The sequence below is a fragment of the Homo sapiens genome, chromosome 12 (genome assembly GCF_000001405.40).
Source record: "Homo sapiens chromosome 12, GRCh38.p14 Primary Assembly".
NCBI classification, from domain to species: Eukaryota; Metazoa; Chordata; class Mammalia; order Primates; family Hominidae; genus Homo; species Homo sapiens.
In genome coordinates this window covers 50,772,922-50,797,264 of record NC_000012.12, presented here as the reverse complement: position 1 = coordinate 50,797,264, position 24,343 = coordinate 50,772,922, and the positions used below count along the sequence as shown (strand labels likewise).

Below are 24,343 nucleotides of genomic sequence, written 5' to 3'. Positions count from 1 at the left end.
TTGCTTTCTTATGCTGAGAAATTCATATCCTGGAAATTGCAGTCATTATCATTTTCTCTCCTGGAGAGACTAGAAGCTGGAAGTGCCCTTCCCTCTTCTCTCCTTTTATCTATGTATGTTGTGTACTGGACCTTCTCATTCTGTGTTCTATCTTAACTTTGTCTTTCTGTGTTCCATTCTAGGTAATCTACTCAGAGCTGTATCCTCAGGTTCTCTCATTTTGTCTTCAGTTACGGGTATTAACCCCTTATCAGATAAGTGGTTTGCAAATAATTTTTTCCCAGTCCGTAAGTTGCCTTTTCATTTTGTTGCTTTGTTTCCTTTGCTACACAGACACGTTTTTTAGTTTGACGTAGTCCCATTTATTTATTTTTTTGTAGCCTAAGCTTTTGGTGTGATATCCAAAAAATCATTGCCAAGGTCAATGTCGAAGAGCTTATCGCCTATGTTCTCTTCTAGGATTTTTATGGTTTCAGGTCTTAACATTTAGGTCTCTTATCCATTTGGTGTTGATTTGTGTAATGGTGTAAGATAAAGATTAAATTTACATTTTTTTTTTTTTTTGAGACAGAGTCTTGCTCTGTTGCCCAGGCTGCAGTGCAGTGGCACAATCTCGGCTCACTGCAACCTCCGCCTCCCAGGTTCAAGTGATTCTCCTGCCTCAGCCTCCCAAGTAGCTGGGATTACAGGTGTGCACTACCACACCCGGCTAATTTTTCTATTTTTATTAGAGACGGGGTTTCACCATGTTGGCCAGGCTGGTCTCAAACTCCTAACCTCAGGTGATCTGCCCGCCTCAGCCTCCCAAAGTGCTGGGATTACAGGCATAAGCCACTGCATCCGGCCAAAGGTCCAATTTCATTTTTTCTTGGAGACAGGATCTTGCTCTATCACCCAGGCTGGAGCACAGTGACACAATCACAGATCATTGTAACTTCAAACTCCTGGGCTCAAGCCATCTTCCCGCCTTAGCCTCTAAGTAGATGGGACTACAGGCGTGCGCCACTATGTCCAGCTAAGGTTTGTATTTTTTGAAGAGACAGGGTCTTGCCATGTTGCCCAGGCTGGTCTTGAACTCCTGGGCTCAAGCAATCCTACCTCGGCCTCCGAAAGGGTTGGGATTATAGGCGAGGGCCAACCAATTTCATTCTTAACACTGACGCGTGCTAACTTCTTTAGTGTACTTTGCACAGCACCTCTTGAACTCATTTGGTACTATCATAACATGCAGGGCTTCATACAAGAGAGTACTCACCTGTAAGATGGGCGCCGTGCTAGGATCCCGTGGGCTTTCTGTGAGGAGCCTATGCTGTCGGATGAGTCCTGGGACTCCTCACTTTCTGATAAAGATGATACCTAAAAAAGAACTGGCATTAACATGATGAACAATGCAGGTGGGAAAAGAAACAACTGAATTTTTACTTTTAGAAAAAAATGATCTGTCTCCTGCCACTCCAATTCATTTGTACATTAAATCTAAAGTCTAAAAGAAAGGAACAAAAGGAAAAGGAAAAATGAGAAAGTTTATTCCAGGAGCCCAACCTATTAAAGGAATATCAAATATAGCAGGCCCAGAGCTGAGAATAAAGTCTGTCCCCCAAATGAAGCAGTACTATTTTACCAGAGTTAAAAAGACCAGGCTCTGATGTCATTCTCCACCCTATTTCTACACTGATGCACATTACTTAAAAGTGTTGTTTTATTACTAATCTACCTGACATGCTAAGTTTGAAAAACCTGTTATATATTCAACTGCTGACATTGAGACGAATATTAAATATACAAGCCTGTAGGTCTGGGAAGAGGTCTGGGCTAGATACATAAATTTTGGAGGTCTAGCTTTTTAGAGTCCTTAAAGCCATGAGACTGGATGAGCTCATAGGGGTAAATAGAAGAGGACTGAGGACTAACCTCAGGAACACTAAGAGACTGGATGAAGAGGAGGAACCAGCAAATGAGACTAAGGAGTCACCAGTAAAGAAGAGAACCAAATGATTGAGCTGTCCATGGAAAACTAGTGAAGACAGCATACTGAGGAGAAAAGAATGATCAACCATGTCCAATGCTGTTTACAAGCTGAGATAAAATAAAGACTGAGAACAGACCATTCGATTTAGCAAGGTGGAGGTCACTGGCAATGGCAGGTATAAATATATGCCATTTTAAAATCTGTATGATTCAATTTTATCTCATTTCACAAGTTAATACATGCAACACTTGGCATGCATACAATGTTAATTTTTATAAACTACATCAATATAATATGCAAGTTATAGCAATATTTTACAATTGAGAAAACAAGTTGTTTTCAATTTTTTTTTAAATATTTTTAATTTTTTTATTTTTGAGACAGGGTCTCACTCTGTCACCCAGGCTGAAGTGCAGTGGTGCAATGACAGCTCACTGTAGCGTCGCCTTCCTGGGCTCAAGCAATCTTCCAGCCTGAGCCTCCTGAGTAGCTAGGATTACAGGTGCACACCACCATGCCCAGCTAATTCATTTTTTTTTATTCTGACAGGGTCTCATTATGTTACCCTGGCTGGTGTCAAACTCCTGGGCTCAAGCAGGCCTCCCAAAGTGCTGGGATTACAGGTATGGGTCACCATGTCTGGCCTCAATTTTTTAAGCGTATTAAAACTTTCCAACATTTGTCCAAAGTTAGATTGTGATATCCGACTTCATCTGAATTTTTTTTTTTTTGAGATGGAGTATCACTGTGTCGCCCAGGCTGGAGTGCAGTGGCACGATCTTGGCTCACTGCAACCTCCACCTCCTGGGTTCAAGTGATTCTCCTGCCTCAGCCTCCTGAGTAGCTGGGATTACAGCCACGTGCCACCACGCCCAGCTAATTTTTGTATTTTTAGTAGAGATGGGGTTTCACCATGTTGGTCAGGCTGGTCTCAAACTCCTGACCTCATGATCCACCTGCCTCAGCCTCCCAAAGTGCTGGGATTGCAAGTGTGAGCCACTGTGCCTGGCCGACTTCATCTTAATTTTTAAAAATAAAATAACCCAGGCCAGGCGCGGTGGCTCACGCCTGTAATCCCAGCACTTTGGGAGGCCGAGGTGGGTGGATCACGAGGTCAGGAGATTGAGAACATCCTGGCTAACACGGTGAAACCCCGTCTCTACTAAAAATACAAAAAATTAGCCGGGCCTGGTGGTAGGCGCCTGTAGTCCCAGCTACTCGGGAGGCTGAGGCAGGAGAAGGGCGTGAACCTGGGAGGTGGAGCTTGCAGTAAGCCGAGATCGCGCCACTGCACTCCAGCCTGGGCAACACAGCGAGGCTCCCGCTCAAAAAAAATAAAAATAAAAATAAATAAAAAATAACCCAAACAGGCCTTTAGAAGGGACATAAGAAATCAATTCTCCACATTAGTTACTATCTATAGAAAGCCTTCCCCTAAACTATTTAGACATGAAATTTCCAGAGAGGCTTCTTTTATATGTTATTTCCTTCAAAAATGAGTTCTAGTATATAACTACTCATTTATATTTCATATTAAATCTATATCATTATACAGAAAAGAATTAGTCATAACCCAATAATAATTAAGAAATAACCAATAATTAAGAAAAATCTGTCACTTTTCTTTTCCTCAAGCATCATAAATTTTTTTTTTTTTTTTTTGAGATGGAGTCTTGCTCTTGTCGCCCAGGCTGGAGTGCAATAGCACAATCTTGGCTCACTGCAGCTTCTGCCTCCCGGGTTCAAGCGATTCTCCTGCCTCAGCCTCCCAAGTAGCTGGGTAGCTGGGATTACAGGCACCTGCCACCATGCCTTGCTCATTTTTGTATTTTTTAGTAGAGATGGGGTTTCACCATGTTGGCCAGGCTGGTCTCGAACTCCTGACCTCGTGATCCGCCCACCTCAGCATCCCAAAGTGCTGGGATTACAGGTATGAGCCACCGCACCTGGCCATAAAATACTTCATTTCTAATCTAATTCTTTAACTACACTGTCTGTTCCTAAGCTTACTCCAAAGCCTTCCACTGAACTTAAGAAAATAAATTGTAAAACTAAGGAATTACTTGTAATTAAAATCAAAAATTTATCTTTAATAACAGCACCAGCAAATAAGACTAAAATTTCCATATAAACACTAAAAAAATCCATGCAGCCACCTCCTTTCACATGGGAGTACCACATAAAGATGCAGCTCTAGTTTTTACAACATTGCCATAATCAGGAGAAGAAAGGAGGAATATAGCTTTTCTTCTAGGAGAGCTGCTTCTAAAAACGAGAGATGACCAAAGGTATTCTGGGACTATAAAATGGGAAAAGTAGAAAGAAAAGGAATCTAGGATGGCTCTTTCTTTCGTACTTTTGTAAGGTGTTAATATGAAGGTAGATAAATACAAATAAGAACTTTCCTCTACTACAAGAGAACTCTTTTATTTGACCTCCATAAAGCATGTGGTAGGTAGGTACTAACTCCATAAAGCATATAGAAAATACCTGGGATAAAAGGGTGCTTTCCCTTTAAAAAAAAAAAGTCCCTCATTTCCTTAAATCATAAGCAATAACTTTCCCTAAAATTGTCTTCTATTTTCACTAGGTATTATATACATGAAACTAGAAATTCTAAAACTTTTCTATTTGCCTGATTTGGTCTGCAGTCTAATTTGTAAGACAACTTTATCTTGGTTTATATATTATAGGTACAGCAACTGAAATGTATCTGAAGACTCAGGGTATAAAAGTTCCAACTCTCGACCACTAAGTCTTCAAATTTCTGTATCATTTGCACATGTGGTGGGTGAATTACAGAAGACTGGGCTGTCTGGATGACCCCCTGAATCTGTACTTGCTCTCCAGGAAGACGTATAATTGTCACTGGCGCAGATCCATTTAATGACATCAATAGAACAAATACAAATTCAATTAACAAAATATATATTGTACCTATGCACATAAGATAGCTGAGTTCTTAACACTGGAAACACATTTCAGAGCTGATTATATTTAATCGCATCATTAACCAAACATTAGGTACCTTCTATTGACCAGAGGCTGAACTAGGGATTGAGAGTACAAACTAACTATAACAAATAGAGTAAGAGTTATAATAGAGGAAAATTACAAAGTACTGTTCTGTGGGAGCAAAGAAAGGGTGTTATTTCATCTGGGTTTTGAATAATTAACAATTACCTGAGGGTATGTATGGAGGGGCAGGAGTTAGGGGACTGGAAGGTATTTTAGGCAGAGGAACTGATTGTGCAAAAACATGGAGAATCTTTAGCACATGCTATTCTGAAGAGATATGGTTGAAAACTAACCAAGAAACCAAGAGACAAAAAGTGAGTGAAACACCAACTTCGGGCAGCATCTTGAAAAAATATATATATATATTTCAAGTAAATGACTGAATCATGAAATTGTAATTTATTTCTGTTGAAATCAGATGCGGTTTCATGGAAATACCATGATAAAATGCTAAACTAAGAAAAGTCCACTCATCATCCCTCCAGGCTCACCTCAGGTCCTACCTCTTCCAAAAAGCTTTCTCAAATATTTTCAGTTAACAGAGATCTCATGCCTTCCTCTGGACTACTCTGGTCCATACCATTACTCTTGGATTTAAATCACAAAATAAAATCCTGGACTACTTCTCAGGACTTGAAAGTAAGCTTCCTTCCTGCTCCCCTGTTCTCCTTCTTCACATTGGGCTCCAAGAATACTGCTTTCCCTGTTTTTCTTTTTTTTTTTTTGAGACTGAGTTTCACTCCTTCCCAGGCTGAAGTGAAGTAGCACGATCTAGACTCACTGCAACCTCCACCCCTGGGTTCAAACGATTCTCCTACCTCAGCCTCCAGAGTAGCTGGGATTACAGGCATGCGTGACCACGCCCAGCTAATTTTTGTATTTTTAGTAGAGACGGGGTTTCCCCATGTTGGCCAGGCTGGTCTCGAACTCCTGACCTCAGGTGATCCGCCCACCTCCGCCTCCCAAAGTGCTAGGATTACAGGCGTGAGCCACCGCACCCAGCCTTCCTGTTCCCTTTCTTCTTTCACTGAAAGTTCTTTTCCTCATCCCAAGACTAGATTAAACAAACCCCAGTCTCATCATCCCTCAAAATGCCTAGGGTCATGAAATTCTGTATAAAATTTATCCAGCCACTAAGAACTGTAAACTCCATTTGTAGCACAAACAATGCCATTCTAACTGACCAAATTCTTGACCAATGGCTTTTGTCATGCCAAGGTTGTGTCCCTAGAATGACACCAGAGCCCCCTTAAAACACCTGCCTGAGAAAGTTCAATTCTACCAAAAAATTTTACTGTTTGTTCCAGCCAAAACTTGACTATAGGCCCCATCCTCACTTTTCTTACAGCATTTTAGAAAACTTGCTGTTATGAATCCTTTCTCTGTCCCATGAGATGTAGACATTCTAAAACCTAGAAATCTTTCTTTGGGCCTGTAAATGTAGTAACCAAGAAAGAAAAGATTTGGTCCCTGTCTCCCAGTCTGTGGGAGAGTAGGAGCCAACTTTGACAAGTGCCAATGAGCAAGCAGGACGGCTAATCATAGTGACAATTCCTTCCCTCCCCCAAACATCTTATGTACTTTTCCTTTAGAACACCCCAATATTTAAAAAGCTTTCCATCTGTTTCAGTGGAGCTGAGCTCAGTTTATGTTGGAGTTTCTCTCCTATACTGCAGTAATCTGATAAAATCTGTCTTGCTGCCTTTAACATATGTCCAGCTCTGTTCCTCTTTGACAGTACCCCAATATGGGCATAGAGAAATTGAAGAATAAGAATAAACAAAGAGCTGGGTGCAGGGACTCACACCTATAATCCCAGCACTTTAGGAGGACAAGAGAAGCCCAGGAGTTCAAGACCAGCCTGGGCAACATAGGTAAAATGCAGTCTCTACAAAAAATACAAAAATTAGCCAGGTTTGGCAGCGCATGCCTATCGTCACAGCTATGTGGGAGGCTAAGCTGGGAGGATTGCTTGAGCCCAGGAGGTGGAGGTTGTGGTGAGCTGTGATTGCGCCACTGCACTCCAACTCTAGCCTGGGTGACAAAGTAATAACTGTCTCAAAAAAAAAAAAAAAAAAAATAGAACCCACAAGTCTTGAGAGTCCAGCTCTAGAGTTACCATTACACTTGGAAAACATTAACAAAACGTCTCCCCACCTTTCAATAACTGAAGCCACTCAGCTAATGGAGAGAGCGTATGATAGGATTAATCTACATTTCTAAAAGACTAAGGGCCATCATTCCTCAAAGGTTTCTGGCAATCCATGTGATTTAATGCAGGCTATGGGTCTGTCAGGTTGAAAAGGAAAATAGGCACCAGATTTTGATTTAGCTAGTGGTAGTCCCTATCCCTTATTACTACGGTTCGTCTAACCTCACAAAATGCTCATTACTCAGGGTCTCAAAGTCCTGATTCTCTTCCCAACCCCACTCTCAAACCTGATAATCTAAATATTGAGAGACCTTTCAAAGGAGGAAAGGGAGGACCTGGTCCCCCAATCTTTTTTTTTTGGTGGGAGGGCGCAGGCAGGGTCTCACTCTGTCAACCAGGCTGGAGTGCAGTGGCACAATCTCGGCTCCCTGCAACCTCTGCCTCCTGCGTTCAAGCGATTCTCCTGCCTCAGCCTCCCGAGTAGCTGGGATGACAGGCGCCCACTACTTCCGGCTAATTTTTGTATTTTTAGTACACATGGGGTTTCACCATGTTGGCCAGGCTGGTCTCAAACTCCAGGCCTCATGTGATCCGCCCGCCTCCCAAAGTGCTAGGATTACAGGTGTGAGCCACTGCACTCTGCCAGAACTTCATACTACTTCTCTGTCCACTGGTTCACTTACATTATAAAGATTCTAGATTCTAAATTATCAGTCCAAAATCTAAAATAGAGCAGGAACAAATAAAAATAAATAGTAAACAGGCCAGGCATGGTGGCTCACACCTGTAATCACTTTGGGAGGCCGAGGTGGGCAGATCACCTGAAGTCAGAAGTTCAAGACCAGCCTGGCCAACATGGCGAAACCCCCGTCTCTACTAAAATTACAAAAATTAGCGGGGCATGGTGGCGCACGCCTGTAGTCCCAGCTACCCAAACTGCTTGAACCCAGGAAGTGGAGGTGGAAGTTGTAGTGAGTTGAGATTGCACCACTGCACTCCAGCCTAGGCAACAGAGCAAGACTCTGTCTCCGAAAAAAAAAAACAACAAAAAAAACCTCATTTAATATACATTAACACTGAACTACGTATCAGTCGCTAGCACTGTAACGCATGCCTGAATGAAACTTATCTAACACATGTATTTCCTCCATAAGGCACATCACAGCCTTCTTGCACTTAGAACACAAGATAGCACTTTGTACTACACTTGGGAGTCAATTTTAAATAGCAAAATCACCAACAAAAAGGAGAAAAATGCAAAAAATGTAGTTATACTAACTAGACCGCAAAGAGGCCAATTGTTTATACTATGAGAGCTGATGCAAGAAGACACAGCATCACCTTGTTTGACCTCAGCCAGGAATATAGGAGTGACTCAAATTTTTTGCCACTTTGCACATGTCCATGAATGACCGCAAAAGTGCCGTGAGTGTTTTTGGAGTTAGAAATAAATTTTATCAAGTAGGCAAATTTGCAAATACAGAATCTGTGAATAATAGGAACCAGCTCTAGCTACTCAGGAGGCAAAGGCAGGAGGATCACTGGAGGGCAGGAATTTGAGGCCAAAGAAATATGATCATGCCACTGCACTCCAGCTTAAGCAACAGAATAATACTCGGTTTCCAAAAAAAAAAAAACAGGGCCAGGTGCAGTGGCTCACGCATACCAGCACTGCACTTTGGGAGGCTGAGGTGGGCAGATTATTTGAGCTTAGGAGTTTGAGACCAGCCTGGGCAACACTGCAAAACCCCATCTCTACAAAAAAATACAAAAAGTTTAGCCGGATGTGATGGCACACACCTGTGGTCCCTGCTACTTGGGGAGCTGAGGCAGGAGGATTGCTTGAGCACAGGAGGTCAAGGCTGCAGTGAGCTATGTTCACACTACTGCACACCAGTCTGGGTGACAGAGTGAGACCCTATGTCAAAAAAAAAAAAAGATTGGCTATAAAATAGTTAATTTTTATTCCTCATCTTATTTGACCTATCAGCCACATTTTACACAGCTGACCATCACTCATTCTGATTTCCAATATTTGAGTTACTCTTGATTTTCCTCCTACCTCACTGACAATCCCTCTTCAATGTCCCCAAACTCCAAATGCTAAAGAAGCCCAGATCCATTGACTCATCTCTACAATACTTACCTCTCAGTAATCCCATCTAGTCACATGACTTTGATCACACTACACCTATGTTAAAGAGATATTATTCCACAGTTCTTGGATGCTCTATTTTTCTCCCTGCCCTTTCCTTTGTTCTCTGTTTTCGTTGTGGGTAATTTCTACTGACCTATCTTCAAGTTCACTGATTCTTTTCTTAGCTGTGTCAAGTCTACTAATAAACCCAAACATATACTTCACCTGTGTCACCATTTTTTTTTTTTAGACAAGGCCTCACTCTGACACCTAGGCTGGAGTGCAGTGGTGCGATGTTGGCTCACTGCAACCTCTGCCCACTGGGCTCAAGCAATCCTCCCACTTCAGCCTCCTGAGTAGCTGGGACCACAGGGTGTGCACCACCATGCCTGGCTTTTTTTTTTTCTTTTGTATTTTTAGTAGAAATGGAGGCTTGCCATGTTGCCCAGGCTGGTCTTGAACTCTTGAGCTCAAGCAATCTGTCTGCCTCGGCCTCCTAAATTGCTGGGATTACAGGCGTGAGCCACCACACCATTTTTATTTCTAACATTTCCATTTGACTTTTTCATATAGTTTCTAACCCTCTGCTGAAATTCCCCAGCTGTCTGTGCATGTTTTCTACCTTTCCCACTGGAGCCTTTAACATATTATTCATTCTTATTTGAAATTCACTCTCTGATAGTTCCAACAGCTGGGTTATCCTGAGTCTGGTTCTGTTTATTGTTTTGGTTTTTGACAGTGAGTTGCTTCTTTGTGTGCTTTTGGTATGTGTTTTATAATTTTTGCCTGAATGACAGACATCATGGGTAAGACACTAGAGACTAAAGTAAATAGTATTTATCTTCAGAAATGGGAAAACAAGAGAGTACACCTCTTCACTAGGGTGTGTGTGTGCGTAGGGAAGGGGTTGAGTCATCTATTCAGGAACTGAGCTGGGTTTGGATTTTGTTGTTGTTTGGATTACCTTAAGTGTACTACCAGCTTCAAATTCCTCTAGTATGACTTTCTGCTTAGGGTGGGGCTGGTATGTCAGAGGGTTTTTCTCATTGTTCTTGCCACACACTCAGCCTTAGGCTTCATCTCTGCATCTGCCCCAAAGAGGCTCTTTCCATACTCTTGTCCCTCCCCCAGGGGTAGATTGCTGTTGCTTGACTTGACAGCACCAACAGGGAGGTTCTTTGTTGTCCTGGCCCAGTCTCAGTCTCAGGTAGGCCCTATGTCCCTGGGTTACAGGGGTTGGGGCTTTCTCCCAGTGGCAGAAAAACTCTAATAGTCTAAGCCCTTAACAGTTTCCTGCCGTTCCCTCAGGGTTTGTGGGTTTTCTTTTTCTTTTTACTTTTCCCAGACACAATGGAAAACTGGGTTTATTTCCTTTTTCCCAGCGGCTTAAAGCCTTTTTTTCCAAAGGAAAAAAAGGTCCAAGTGGGCCTGTACCACCTACCAAGGCATTCTCTGGTCTCCCTTGTGTCCCCAGCCCCATTTTTCTCCTAAGCAACTGCTGGAGGTCCTTGGAGAAAAACCTACAAGAGGGTATGAACTGTCTTTGTGTCTGCAGCTCCCAAGGATTCTATACGCTCACGCTTGCCTACACTTGGACTTTAGCAATTCATTAATTTTCCTGCTAGTACGCAGCCCTGCTTATTTTCTGTGCTCTGCCACAGGTGAGCCATGCCCACACCCCACCTCTATGAGTTTATTATTTTATAGAACATACAACTTATTCTTGTTTCAGGGTAAGAGTAACATTCTTTCCAGCTTTCTGCATCTTGGGGGAGTCTGGAAATCATCCCATAATTATAAATACCACCTATATAGCCACAACTCCTAAATTTAGATTTCTAGTCTGGACCTCTCTCCTGGACCCCAGACTCATATATCTAGCTGCCTACTGGATAAATCTACTTGGATGGTCTGCCCAACAGATTTTAGGGTGGCCCCCATGATCTGCAGCTCCTGGTGTTTGGGACTTTGTCTAATCCTCTCCCCTTGAGAGTGGGAGGGACTTGTGACTTGCTTCTAACCAACCTTATTAAGCAAAGATGATGGGATGTCATGTTTTATCACAAGGAAATGGGATGTCATTCCTTTGATTATATTATGTATAAGACTGTCTTGCTAGCAGACTTGCTCTCACTCTCCTGCTGGACTTGAAGCAGGCTGCTATGCTGTGAACTGCATACGGAGAGGATCACGTGGCAGGGAGTTACTGGTGGCCTTTAGGAGCTATGGGCAGCCTCCAGCCAAGAACCAACCAAAAAACTGAAGCACTCAGTCCTACAGCCACAGTGAAAAGAATTCTGCCAACAAACTAAGTGACCTTGGAAGTAGATTCTTCTCTAGTCTAGCCTCCTGCTAAGAACTCAGCCCTAGCCAATGCCTCAGTTGCAGTTTGGTGTGAGACCGCAAAGCAAAGAACCCAGTTAAGATATGCCTGACCCCACACAAACTGTGAGATAATAAATGTGTGTTGTTTTAAGCTATTAGCTTTGTGGTGATTTGTTCTGCAGCACAGAAAACCAACACAGATAATATTACAGACATAACATGCCTAAAAACCAAATTCCTGATTGCCAACATTCCCCCAAAAAGAAATGGAAAACATCATCCAGCATTGTCCATCTCAATAAATGGCAATTATATATATACGTCTGTGTGTGTGTGTGTGTGTGTGTGTGTGTGTGTGTGTGTGTGTGTGTGTGTGTGTATGTATATATATAATTTTTTTTTTGAGATGGGGTGAGTCTACACTATGTTGCCCAGGCTGGTCTGGAACTCCTGGGCTCAAGGAGTCCTCCCACCTGAGCCTCCCAAGCAGAGGGGATTATAGGCATGCACTACCACGCCCGGGTCAAGTAATTTCATTCTTAACAGTTGCTCAAACCAAAACTGTGACGTCAATCTTGGCTCGTTCCTTTATTTAAAACTCCACATCCAGCGGGGAGGGGGGAGGGATAGCATTAGGAGATATACCTAATGCTAAATGATGAGTTAATGGGTGCAGCACACCAGCATGGAACATGTATACATATGTAACTAACCTGCACATTGTGCACATGTACCCTAAAACTTAAAGTATAATAATAATAAATAATAAATAAATAAATAAATAAAAAATAAAACTCCACATCCAATCCAAAAGCAAATACTATTGGCTTTACAACCAATATATATCCAGAATCTAACTTTGTCTCATCACTACCCCAGCTACCACACTGGTCCAAGCCATTGTCATCTCCCATGTACATTACTGTAATGCCTTCTAACTAGTTTCCTGTTTCTATTCCACAAAGCAGTCTGAGTGATTCTTTTAAGATACGCCAGATAACGTTTCTACTCAAAACACTCTAAAGGTTCCCCACGTCACCCAGATCAAAACACAAAAATTTTACAGTGGTATATGGCCTACATTATCTGGCACTCTCCCCTCTTCGCACCCCAACCCTCTCTGCCTCATCCTCTATCCATCCCTCTCCCAACACACTGGCCACCTCAGTGTTCCTTGACCATATCAAGCACATATTAGTCTCACAGTTTTACAACTGTTGGTCCATATAATTGAACAAGTATTTCCTCAGACAAATGTCTCTGTCTACCTTGTATAAAAAGAGAAGTCCCCTGTCCCCACCACCAACTCCCTATCTCTCCTATCCTGCTTTATTTGTCTCCATGGCACATATTACCAACTGATAGGTTTTGTTGCCTGTCTCTCCAAAATTAGAATATAAGATACATGAAAGCTGAGAATTTTGTTCACTGCTATATCCCCAGTTTATACTGAATTATTATAAAATACTGTTTCCTTTACATAATTTTTTTCTTTTTTTTTTTGAGACAGGATCATGCTGTGACCCAGCCTGGAGTGCAATGGTGCAATCACGGCTCACTGCAGCCTTGACCTCTGGGGCTCAGGTGGTCCTCTCCCTTCTGCCTCCTGAGTAGTTGGGACTGCAGACAAACGCCACCACACCTGGCTAAATTTTTTTATTTTTTAGTAGAGACAGAGTCTCACTATGTTGCCCAGGCTGGTGTCAAACTCCTGGGCTCAAGTGATCCTCAGCATCCCAAAGTGCTGGGATTATAGGTGTGAGCCACCGTGGCCAGCCATTTTTTTTTTTTTTTTTTCAGACGGAGTTTTGCGCTGTCGCCCAGTCTGGAGTACAGTGGTATGATCTCGGCTCACTGCAACCTCCACCTCCCCAGTTCAAGCAGTTCTCTATCCCAGCCTCCCGAGTAGCTGGGATTAAAGGTGCATGCCACCATGCCCAGCTAATTTTTGTATTTTTAGTAGAGACGGGGTTTCACCATCTTGGCCAGGCTGGTCTTGAACTCCTGCCCTCGTGATCTACCCGCCTCGGCCTCCCAAAGTGCTGGGATTACAGGCATGAGCCACTGTGCCCAGCCTGCCAACCATATTATTTTTAAAAATCACTATAAAATGATTTACTATCTAGAAATGTATTTATTCCACTTCACCGTAAATATGCTTCTGAGGAAATTTGAAGAGTCACATCTAACTAAAATAACTGAAATATAGATATAAGTAAGCCAACTGAATTAGAACATTTCTGTAAAGTGCTCTATTAACAGAAAAATAATCAAAGAAAGACTCCACCTTATTTTTCTAGCACCATCTGGAGAAGACACTGCTATTCTTCACAGATATAGCCAAATAAGGCAGAAGGATATATCAAGCTTAAAGGACTAACCCCTTTGGGTCACTGGTTTTCAAACCTTTTGGTCACAAATCCTTTTGACATTCTCAAACTTATTGAGGACCCCCCAAAATTATTATTTCAGTTATATTTATTAATACTTACCATATTTAAAATTAAATTTAAAAAATTAGCAGTTCATTTCAAAATACAATAACAATCCATTACACGTTACCATACCTATTTCCATTAATACATTTTCAAAAAAAATTAGTGAGAGAAATGGCATTGTTTTACATTTCTGCAAATTTCCTTAATATCTGGCTTAATAGAAAACAGCTGAAATCAGCCGGGTGCAGTGGCTCATGCCTGTAATCCCAGCACTTTGGGAGGCCAAGGTGGGTGGATCACTTGACGTCAGGAGTTCAAGACCAGCCTGGTCAATATGGTGAAACCCCACCTCTACTAAAAATACACAAATTAGCTGGTCGTGGCAGTGGGCACCTGTATTCCCAGCTACTCGGGAGGGTGAGGCAGGAGAATCACTTGAACCCAAGAGGCAGAGGTTGCAGTGAGCCAAGATCGCACCACTGCACTCCAGTCTGGGCGACAGAGCAAGACTCCGTCTCAAAAAAAAAAAAAAAAAAAAGGCTGGCCACAGTGGCTCACACCTATAATCCCAGCACTTTGGGATGCTGAGGATCACTTGAGCCCAGGAGTTTGACACCAGCCTGGGCAACATAGTGAGACTCTGTCTCTACTAAAAAAAAAAAAAAAAAAAAGGCCGGGTGTGGTGGCTCAGGCCTGTAATCCTAGCACTTTGGAAGGCTGAGGCGGGTGGATCACGAGGTCAGGAGATCAAGACCATCCTGGCTAACACGATGAAACCCTGTCTCTAGTAAAAATACAAAAAATTAGCCGGGCGTGGTGGCGGGCGCCTGTAGTCCCAGCTACTCGGGAGGCTGAGGCAGGAGAATGGCGTGAACCTGGAAGGCGGAGGTTGCAGTGAGCCGAGATCGCGCCACTGCACTCCAGCCTGGGCGACAGAGCGAGACACTGTCTCAAAAAACAAACAAACAAATAAACAAACAAACAAAAAAAACAGAAAAAGAAAACAGCTGAAATCTCTTATCTGATTCTACATTAATTATGTTATCATACATTGTTTTGGTTGAATTATATGAAGAAAATCTGCCCTCACATAGATATGCAATTAGAAAAGATGTGTAGTGTTTTAAAAGCCTTTTCATTTCATTGTATTCTTTGATACAGCAGCAAAACTCAGCAAGTTATAGTTTCTTAAAGGTTATTTGCCATGTACAGTCTGAACTTTGTGTATTGTTAACATTAAAATCCGTTAGTCTCATCTTGCACTTTAAATGGCTCTTACACTCATGCATGATTTTTTTTTTTTTTTTTTTGGAGATAGGGTCTCACTCTGTCACCCAGGCTGGAGTGCAGTGGCATGATTATAGCTCACTGCTGCCTTGAACTCCTGGGCTCAAACAATCCTCCTGCTTCAGCCAAGTAGCTGTTACTACAGGTGTTGTAGTGCCACCACACCCAGCTAATTTTTAAAATTTTTTGGCCGGGCACGGTGGCTCACGCCTGTAATCCCAGCATTTTGGGAGGCTGAGGTGGGTGGATCACCTGAGGTCAGGAGTTTGAGACCAGTCTGGCCAACAGGTGAAACCCCGTCTCTACCAAAAATACAAAAAATTAGCTGGGTGTGGTGGTGGGCGCCTGTAATCCCAGCTACTCGGGAGGCTGAAGCAGGAGAATCGTTTGAACCCGGGAGGCGGAGGTTGTAGTGACCCGAGATCGTACCACTGCACTCCAGCCTGAGCGACAGAGCGAAACCCTGCCTTGAAAAACAAAAACAAAAACAAAGAAAACAACTCTAAATACAGTTAGGCCTCTTTATTCATGGGTTCTGCATCCATGAGTTTCACATCTGTGGATTCAACCAACCACAGATTGAAAATATTCAGGAAAAAAAATTTCTCTATACTGAACATGTACCGACTGTTTTTCTTGTCATATAGTATAACTATTCACATAGCATTTACATAGTATTAGGTATTAAAAGTAATCTAGAAATGATTTAAAGTATACAGGAAAATATGTAGGTTATATATAAATACCATGCCGTTTTCTATCAGGGGCTTTAAGCATCACAGATCTTGGTATCTGTGGACGTCCTGGAACCAGTCTCCCACAGATACTGAGAGATGACTATATACTTCGTTTAAAAGAAAATAAAACTAAATGATCTTGACAAGATATTTAAAGTCCACCTTCTTTTCTTATATTTTAACATTTTATACAGTCTTTTTTGCTTGTTTTTCTATTTTATTTTTTATTTATTTATTTTTATGATATGGAGTCTCGTTCTATTGCCCAGGCTGGAGTGCAGTGGCATAGTCTGTGCTCACTGCAACCTCCACCTCCCAGGCTCAAGCGATTCTCCTGCCTCAGCCTCCCGAGCAGCTGGGATTACAGGCAACCGCCACTGCACCTGGCTAATTTTTGATTTTTATTAGAGACAGGGTTTCGCCATGTTGGTCAGGCTAGTCTTGAACTCTTGACCTCGTGATCCGCCCGCCCTGACTTCCCAAAGTGCTAGGATTACAGGCGTGAGCCACTGCGCCTGGCCTTTGCTTGTTTTGTTTTTTTTTTTTTTTAACATTAATGCCAGGTCTGGTGGCTCACACCTGTAATCCCAGCATTTTGGGAGGCCAAGGTGGGTGGGTTACCTGCGGTCAGGAGTTCGAGACCAGCCTGGCCAACATGGTAAAACCCCATCTCTACTAAAAATACAAAAAATAGCCAGGCGTGGTGGCAGATGCCTGTAGTCCCAGCTACTTGGGAGGCTGCGGTAGGAGAATTGTTTGAACCCAGGAGGTGGAGGTTGCAGTGAGCCGAGATCATGCCACTGCACTCCAGCCTGGGCAACTAGAGCAAAAATCTGCCTCGAAAAAAAAAACCCAAAAAACAAAAACCAAAATAAAACACATTAATAATCAGTCTGAAACGAGATTAATCTGCATATAAAATATTCCTAACAAGCTCAGTATTTTGGCCAGTCCCTCCCTTACCTGTTGAGCAATATGAGAAATGTGAGCTCCCTGAACTGCTGAACCAGGTTGAGGTGCTGTCTCTGACGTGGTACTCTTGTGGGAATCTTCCATAATCAACTATAAGGGGGAAAAAAGTCCGTTAAAATTAAATATGATACAGAATGTTTACAGTATACTATAGAATCATATAAAAATTGATCATTTAGTTGCCTCAATGGAAAAGAACTGGTAGCAATGGTATAGAGATAGAAAGGGGACTGTGCATTTTCTTTAAATTTTTTGAATTTTGGCCCACAAAAACATGTTTAAGTTTAATAAAAGGCACATATAAACATAAATTATGATGACTAAGTTTGCAAACGTTATCCCATTGAAGAATGATGACAGTCCTCCTGTCTATGGACACAAACATATCTGTCTCTAGTCTAGGGAAGTTTCTAAGTGTACATATAGTTTTTTATATAGAGAATTTACTGAGTAAAAGTTGAACAAATAAATAAAACTATACCTAAGGAGGTTCTAAATAAGTTCTAGAAAACTTAGATAATCAACTTCAGGATATGTAGGCTAGGTAAGAATGAGAATAAATGAGCTATGAGAGATCAAATACGGCAAATAGGGAGAGAACCACTAACAAGCTGGTAAAAGATTTAGACAGAATTTAATGTTTTTAAAGGTTACCTGGAAAGGCCAAAAAAAAAAAAAAGAGAGAGGGCTAGCCAGAAAGCTTATGAAAAGATGCTCAATATCACTATTAAGGAAATGCACTGAAAACTACAACGAAATATCACCTCATACATACCCATTAGAATGGGTAATATCAAGACACAGAAAATACTAAGTGTTGGCAAGGATGTGGAGAAACTGGAACCCTGGTACACTACTGTGCTGGTGGGAATGTAAAGTGGTACAGCTATTATGGAAAACGCTATGGCAGTTCCTCAAACAAAAATAGAGCAATTTCACTTGGTGGTGTATATATCCAGAAGAATTGAAAGCACGGTCTCAAGGAGAAGAATATTTGTACACCTATGTTCATGGCAGCATTATTATTCACAATAGCCAAAAGGTGGAAGCAACCCAAATATTCATCAGTGGATGAATTGATAAATAAAATAGTGACTGTACATACAATGGAATATTGTTCAGCCTTAGGAAGAAACTCCTGTCACATGCTACAGCATGGATGAACCTTGAGCATATTGTGCTAAGTCAAATAACCCAGTCATAAAAATACAAAAACTTTATGATTCCACTAACTTGACGTATCTAGAGTAGCAAAACTCCACAGAAACAGGAAGTAGAATGGTGGCTATCAGGGACTAAGGGAAGGAGCAAATGGAGAGCTGCTGTTTAATGGGCATGAAAAAGTTCTGGGCTGGGCATGGTGGCTCAAGGCCGTAATCCTAGCACTTTGGAAGGCCAATATGGGCGGACTGCCTGAGCTGAAGAGCTCAAGACCAGCCCTGGGCAACATGGTTTCTACTAAAATACAAAAAAAATTAGCCAGGGGTGGTGGCAAGCACCTGTAATCCCAGCTACTTGGGAGGCTAAGGCACGAGAATTGCTTGAACCCGGGAGGTGGAGGTTGCAGTGAGTGGATTGTGCCACTGCACTCCAGCCTGAGTGACAGAGGGAGATTGTCTCAAAAAAAAAAAAAGTTCTGGACATTGGTTGTACACACTGTGAATGTACTTAACACTATAGAACTGTATGTTTAAAAATGGTTAATATGGCCAGGCGCGGTGGCTCACGCCTGTAATCTCAGCACTTTGGGAGGCCGAGGTGGGTGGATCACGAGGTCAAGAGATCGAGACCATCCTGGCCAACATGGTGAAACCATGTCTCTACTAAAAATAAAAAATTAGCTCGGCACGGGGGCAGGTGCCTGCAGTCCCAGCTACTCAGGAGGCTGAGGCAGGAGAATCATTTGAACCCGGGAGGTGGAGGTTGCAGTGAGCTGAGATCGTACCACTGCACTCCAGCCTAGTGACAGAGTGAGACTCTGTCTCAAAAAAAAAAAAAAAAAAAAGGTTAATATGGCCAGGTGTGGTGGCTCACGCCCATGATCTCAACACATTGGGAGGCTGAGGCACAAGAATAACATGAGCCCAGGAGTTTGAGACCAGACCTGGCAACATAGTGAGAGCCCGTCTCTACAAAAAATAAAAAATTAGCTGGGCGTGGTAGTATGCCCCTGTAGTCTCAGCTACTCAGGAGGCTGAGGCGAGAGGATTGCTGCAGCCCAGGAGTCAAGGCTGCAGTAAACTGAGATCACACTACCGCACTTCAGCCTTGTCTCAAAAAAAAAAAAAAAAAAGATAGTAAATTCCACGGTACGTATATTTCTCCACAATTAGAGAGAGAGAGGGCAGCTAGGTAGCTGCCAGGCTTCATTGAATTAATAACTGTGGAGTTTAAGCCTACATATTTTCTTCTTCCTTTTTTCTAAGTCAGAAAACATTTTTTTTTTTTTGAGACAGGGTCTCACACTGTTGCCCAGGCTGGAGTGTAGTGGTGCAACCTCGGCTCACTGCAGCCTTGACCTCGCAGGCTCAACCCATCCTTCCACCTCAGCCTCCTGAGTAGCTGGGACTACAGGTGCATACCACCATGCCTTGTTAATTTGGGGGGGGTCTTTTCTGTACAGATGGGGTTTTGCCATGTTGCCCAGGCTGGTCTTGAATGCGTAGGCTCAAGTAATTACTGTCTGCCTCGGCCTCCCAAAGTGCTGGGATTACAGGTATAAGTAAACATGCCCAGCCCAAATTCATTTTTAACAAATGAATTGAAGCTCTTGTTTTTAGTCAATGGAGAAAAGCATGAAATCGCTTCAGACAGAAAGTAGTTTAAATTTTTTTTCCCCTCAAATACACCACTAGTCTTTTTCTTCTTACATGGAAAATACACAATAGAAAGAAAAAAGGATGACAGATATTAATCACATTATTGTCTAATTTCTTTTAGTCTTCTATTTCCACAACTTCTTAAAGTCATAACCATACTACATGTACTACTTTGTATCCTCATATTTTGTATCCTGTTTTCATTTATCATACATATTTTCTAGGTTTTAAATAGAAACATATTTAAAGGCTACATAGGCTGGGCAGTGTGGCTCATGCCTGTAATCCCAGCATTTTGGGAGGCCGAGGTGGGCAGATCATCTGAGGTCAGGAGTTCGAGATCAGTCTGGCCATCACAGTGAAACCCCATCTCTACTAAAATTACAAAAAATCAGCTGGGTATGGTGTCGCATGCCTGTAATCCCAGCTACTCAGCAGGAGAATCGCTTGAACCCGGGAGGCAGAGGTTGCAGTAAACTGGGATTGCCCACTGCCCTCCAGCCTGGGCAACAGAGCCAGACTCCATCTCAAAAATAAATAAATAAAGGCTTTATAATACAGCATCCAGGGAATGTGCATAAATTGTATTTTTTACTAAAACAATACTGTCATGAACATCTTTGGTGCATAAACCTTTCTCTGTAATTAAGATTTTTTTCTGTAAGTTCCAAAAAAGAGAATTACTTAATGTAAGGGAATTGGAAATATTTAAAGTTTTCTGAATGAATTGTAGTTTATCAAAAGCACGTAAGAAAGCAATAGAAATTTTTTTAAAATAATTAATGATAGGTAAAAAATATACATTGTTTCATATTTCTTTAATTCTCCATTAGTTGTATGAGTTATCTGGTCATATCATTTGTCCATCCATTTACCAGAGTCTCAAGTGTTTTCCTTCTTTTTTTTTTTTTTTTTTTAAAGACAGGGTGTTGCTCTGTGACCCTGGCTGGAGTGCAGTGGTGTGATCACAGCTCACTGCAGTCTCAATCTACTGGGCTCAAGTGATCTTCACACCTCAGCCTCCCAAGCAGCTAGGACCACAGGCATGCATCACCATATCTGGCTAATTAAAAAAAAATTTTTTTTTTCTTTTTTGAGACAGAGTCTCACTCTGTCACCCAGGCTGGAGTGCAGTGGGACGATCTCGGCTCACTGCAAGCTCCACCTCCCGGGTTCACACCATTCTCCCTCCTGCCTCAGCCTCCTGAGTAGCTGGGACTACAGGCGCCCGCCACCATGCCCAGCTAATTTTTTGTATTTTTAGTAAAGACGGGGTTTCACTGTGTTAGCCAGGATGGTCTTGATCTCCTGACCTCATGATCCGCCCTCCTCGGCCTCCCAAAGTGCTGGCATTACAGGCGTGAGCCACCGTGCCCAGCCTAATTTTTAAAATTTTTTGTCGAGACGAGGTTTTGGCCTTGAACTCCTAAGCTCAAACGATCCACCTACCTTGGCCTCCTAAAGTGTTGCGATTACAGGCCATCAGCCACACTGGCCAATTCAGTGCTTTTTAATCTACACTAATACAAGGTAATCCCACAGACTAATATAAAAACAGAAAAGACAAAATCATGTACCTTCTGCAAATATCTCTACTAAAAATACCTTTTAAATACTCCACTTCAGAAGACATAAATTAGAATACAGAGCAAAGAAGAAAAAAGATGTAATCCTAAAGCACTGAAACTATAAAAGAGTTTTTATAATCTTGTTAATTACTAGAAATGATACTTTTGTTTTGCTCTGACTCACTGATTTTTTTCCCTCCATAACAATATCCTTAAGAATTCCTACTTCTCCATCCTGGACAATGTAGCAAGACCTCGTCTCTACAAAAAAAAAAAACAATTTTAATTAGCAAGGTGTGGTGGCGCATGCCTGTGGTCCCAGATACTGCAGGAGGTGGGGGTGCTGGAGATGGGGGTGCCCACTGATACTGGAGGATCACTTGAGCCCAGGAGGTTGAGGTTGCAGTGGGCCATTATCATGCCACTAACATTCCAGCCTGGGTGACAGCAAGACCCTGTTTCAGAAAAGTAAGATACATTCCTACTTCTAATAGAAACTAATATGATCAAAAAAAAAACACACATATCAACAGTAAAAGCCACTATAATCAGCAAGTAACATTTTAGACAATAATTATAACCACCTTTCCTACAAAAAAGATAACTAACAGGGTGCATACTTGTAATTCCAGCTACTTAGGAGGTTGAGGCAGGAGGATTGCTTGAGTCCCCCAGGAGTTCGAGACCAGCCTGGGGAACACAGAGACAGCCCATTATCTCAATTAAAAAAAAAAAACAAAAGATAACATATTTTCCATTATTGTATACATGAAGAATCAACATATCAAATAAAGCTCTTGGCCAGGCACGGTGGCTCAGGCCTGTAATCCCAGCACTTTGGGAGGCCGAGGCAGGCGGATCACAAGGTCAGGAGATCGACACCATTCTGTGAATGGTGAAACTCCGTCTCTACTAAAAATACAAAAAATTAGCTGGGCGTGGTGGCGGGCGCCTGTAGTCCCAGCTACTCGGGAGGCTGAGGAGGGAGAATGGCGTGAACCCGGGAGGCGGAGCTTGCAATGAGCCGAGATCAAGCCACTGGACTCCAGCCTGGGCGACAGAGTGAGACTCCGTCTCAAAAAAAAAAAAACAAAAACAAAAACAAAAAACTCTTTTTTCCAAAATAAAAATTTTATAGTTTCATCTCATAAACAACAGTACATACTGTTTTACTGATGTTATCAGAATGTAACCTTTATTTGTTCACTTTTTTAAAGCTATTATTTCTAAAATTAAGGTTAAGATTAACAATGTGTTAAAAACTTGTTCAATACAGAATAAATTTTATATGTACGAATGCATTTTCTGTAAAAATAAAGTAAGCCCCCAGTTAGCATATATAAGCTTAACAGGAGATAACCCAAAGTCAGGCAGAAACAAGGGAGTAGTGAAACACCGCTTCAAAAGCACCATCAATGGGAATAGAAGGAACTGAGAAATGGTGGGCTGAGATCTTGCTGACATAGAGAGAATGTCAGGGAAGGCAGGGCCCTTTTAAGAAAACTTGCAGCCGGGCGCGGTGGCTCACGCCTGTAATCCCAACACTTTGGGAGGCCGAGGTGGGTGAAACACCTGAGGTCAGGAGTTCAAGACCAGCCTGGCCAACATGGAGAAACCCCGTCTCTACTAAATATAAAAAAGAAATTAGCCAGGCATGGTGGCACATGCCTGTAATTCCAGCTACTCGGGAGGCTGAGGCAGGAGAATTGCTTGAACCCAGGAAGCAAAGGTTGCAGTGAGCTGAGATAGTGCCAATGCACTCCAGCCTGGGCAACAAGAGTGAAACTCCATCTCCAAAAAAAGAAAAAAGAAAAGAAAACTTGCAAAGAAAGAAACATTATATGTTAGGCAATAAACTAAGAGCTTTTTAAGCTCAACATTACTGATCATTAGAGAAATGTAAATCAAAACCGCAATGAGATACCATCTCACGTCAGTCAAATGGCGATTACCGGCCTGGCATGGTGACTCACACCTGTAATCCTAGCGCTTTGGGAGATCGAGGCGGGCAGATCACTTGAGGTCAGGAGCTTGAGACCAGCCTGGCCAATATGGCAAAACCCCATTTCTACTAAAAATACAAAAATTAGCCAGGCGTGGTGGTGGGCACCTGTAGTCCCAGCTACTTGGAAGGCTGAGGCAGGAGAATCGCCTGAACCCAGGAGGCGGAAACGATGCAGTGAACAGAAATTGCACCACTGCACTCCAACGTGGGCAAGAGAGCAAGACTCAGTCTCAAGAAAAAAAAAAATAGCTGGCATCGTGGGTGACTGTGGTCCCAGCTACTTGGGAGGCTGCCCAGGAGGCGGAGGTTGTAGTGAGCCAAGATTGTGCCACTGCACTCTAACCTGGGCAATAGAATGAGACTTTGTCTCGAAAAAAAAAAAAAAAAAAAAAAGAATGGCAATTAAAAAGTCAACAGTTGGCGAGGTTTGGAGAATAAGGAATGCTTTTACGTTGTTGGTGGGAGTGTAAATTAGTTCAACCATTGTGGAAGACAGTGCAGCAATTTCTCAAAGACCTACAGGTAGAAATACCATTTGACCCAGCAATACCATTATTGGTATATACCCAAAGGAATATAAATCATTCTATTATAAAGATACATGCCCACATATGTTCACTGCAGCACTATTCACAATAGCAAAGACATGCAATCAACCCATATGCCCATCAATGAGAGACTGGATAAAGAACATGTACATATATATCATGGAATACTATGCAGCCATAAAAAGGAAAGAGATAATGTCCTCTGCAGGGTCATGGATGGAGCTGGAAGCTGTTATCCTCAGCAAACTAACAAAGGAACAGAACATCAAACACTGCATGTTCTCACTTATAAGTAGGAGCTGAATGGTGAGAACACGGGGACACATGGTGGGAGAACAACACACACTGGGGCCTGTGGAGGAGGGTGC

At 42.3% G+C, this 24,343-nt stretch overlaps 1 protein-coding gene across 29 annotated transcripts in view, besides 1 other annotated feature; it reads right to left on the bottom strand.

Annotated features, from left to right (window-relative positions):
• Positions 1–24,343, bottom strand: part of ATF1 (activating transcription factor 1) — a 57,704-nt gene that overhangs the window by 23,898 nt on the left and 9,463 nt on the right. For 16 of the 29 annotated variants that reach the window (NR_182081.1, NM_001412963.1, NM_001412980.1 and 13 more), the window contains exons 2-3: positions 17,027–17,125; positions 1,256–1,356 (exon numbers count right to left, since the gene is read on the bottom strand). Coding sequence is in view for 14 of the 29 variants with exons in the window: in NM_001412961.1 (NP_001399890.1) it covers positions 1,256–1,356; positions 17,027–17,125 (200 nt within the window). In the remaining 15 variants the exon portion in view is untranslated. Of the gene's footprint in view, positions 1–1,255; positions 1,368–4,721; positions 5,729–8,939; positions 9,058–17,026; positions 17,126–21,606; positions 23,817–24,343 lie in introns of those variants that run through there. The other 13 variants (NM_001412970.1, NM_001412972.1, NM_001412982.1 and 10 more) reach the window with 6 other exon arrangements.
• Positions 9,206–10,135: an enhancer, noted in NCBI's record as "H3K27ac-H3K4me1 hESC enhancer chr12:51180913-51181842 (GRCh37/hg19 assembly coordinates)". NCBI's record gives its function as "activates a minimal SCP1, AML or CMV promoter by ChIP-STARR-seq in primed H9 embryonic stem cells {active_cell/tissue: H9 hESC(primed)}" and the evidence as "EXISTENCE:reporter gene assay evidence [ECO:0000049][PMID:30033119]".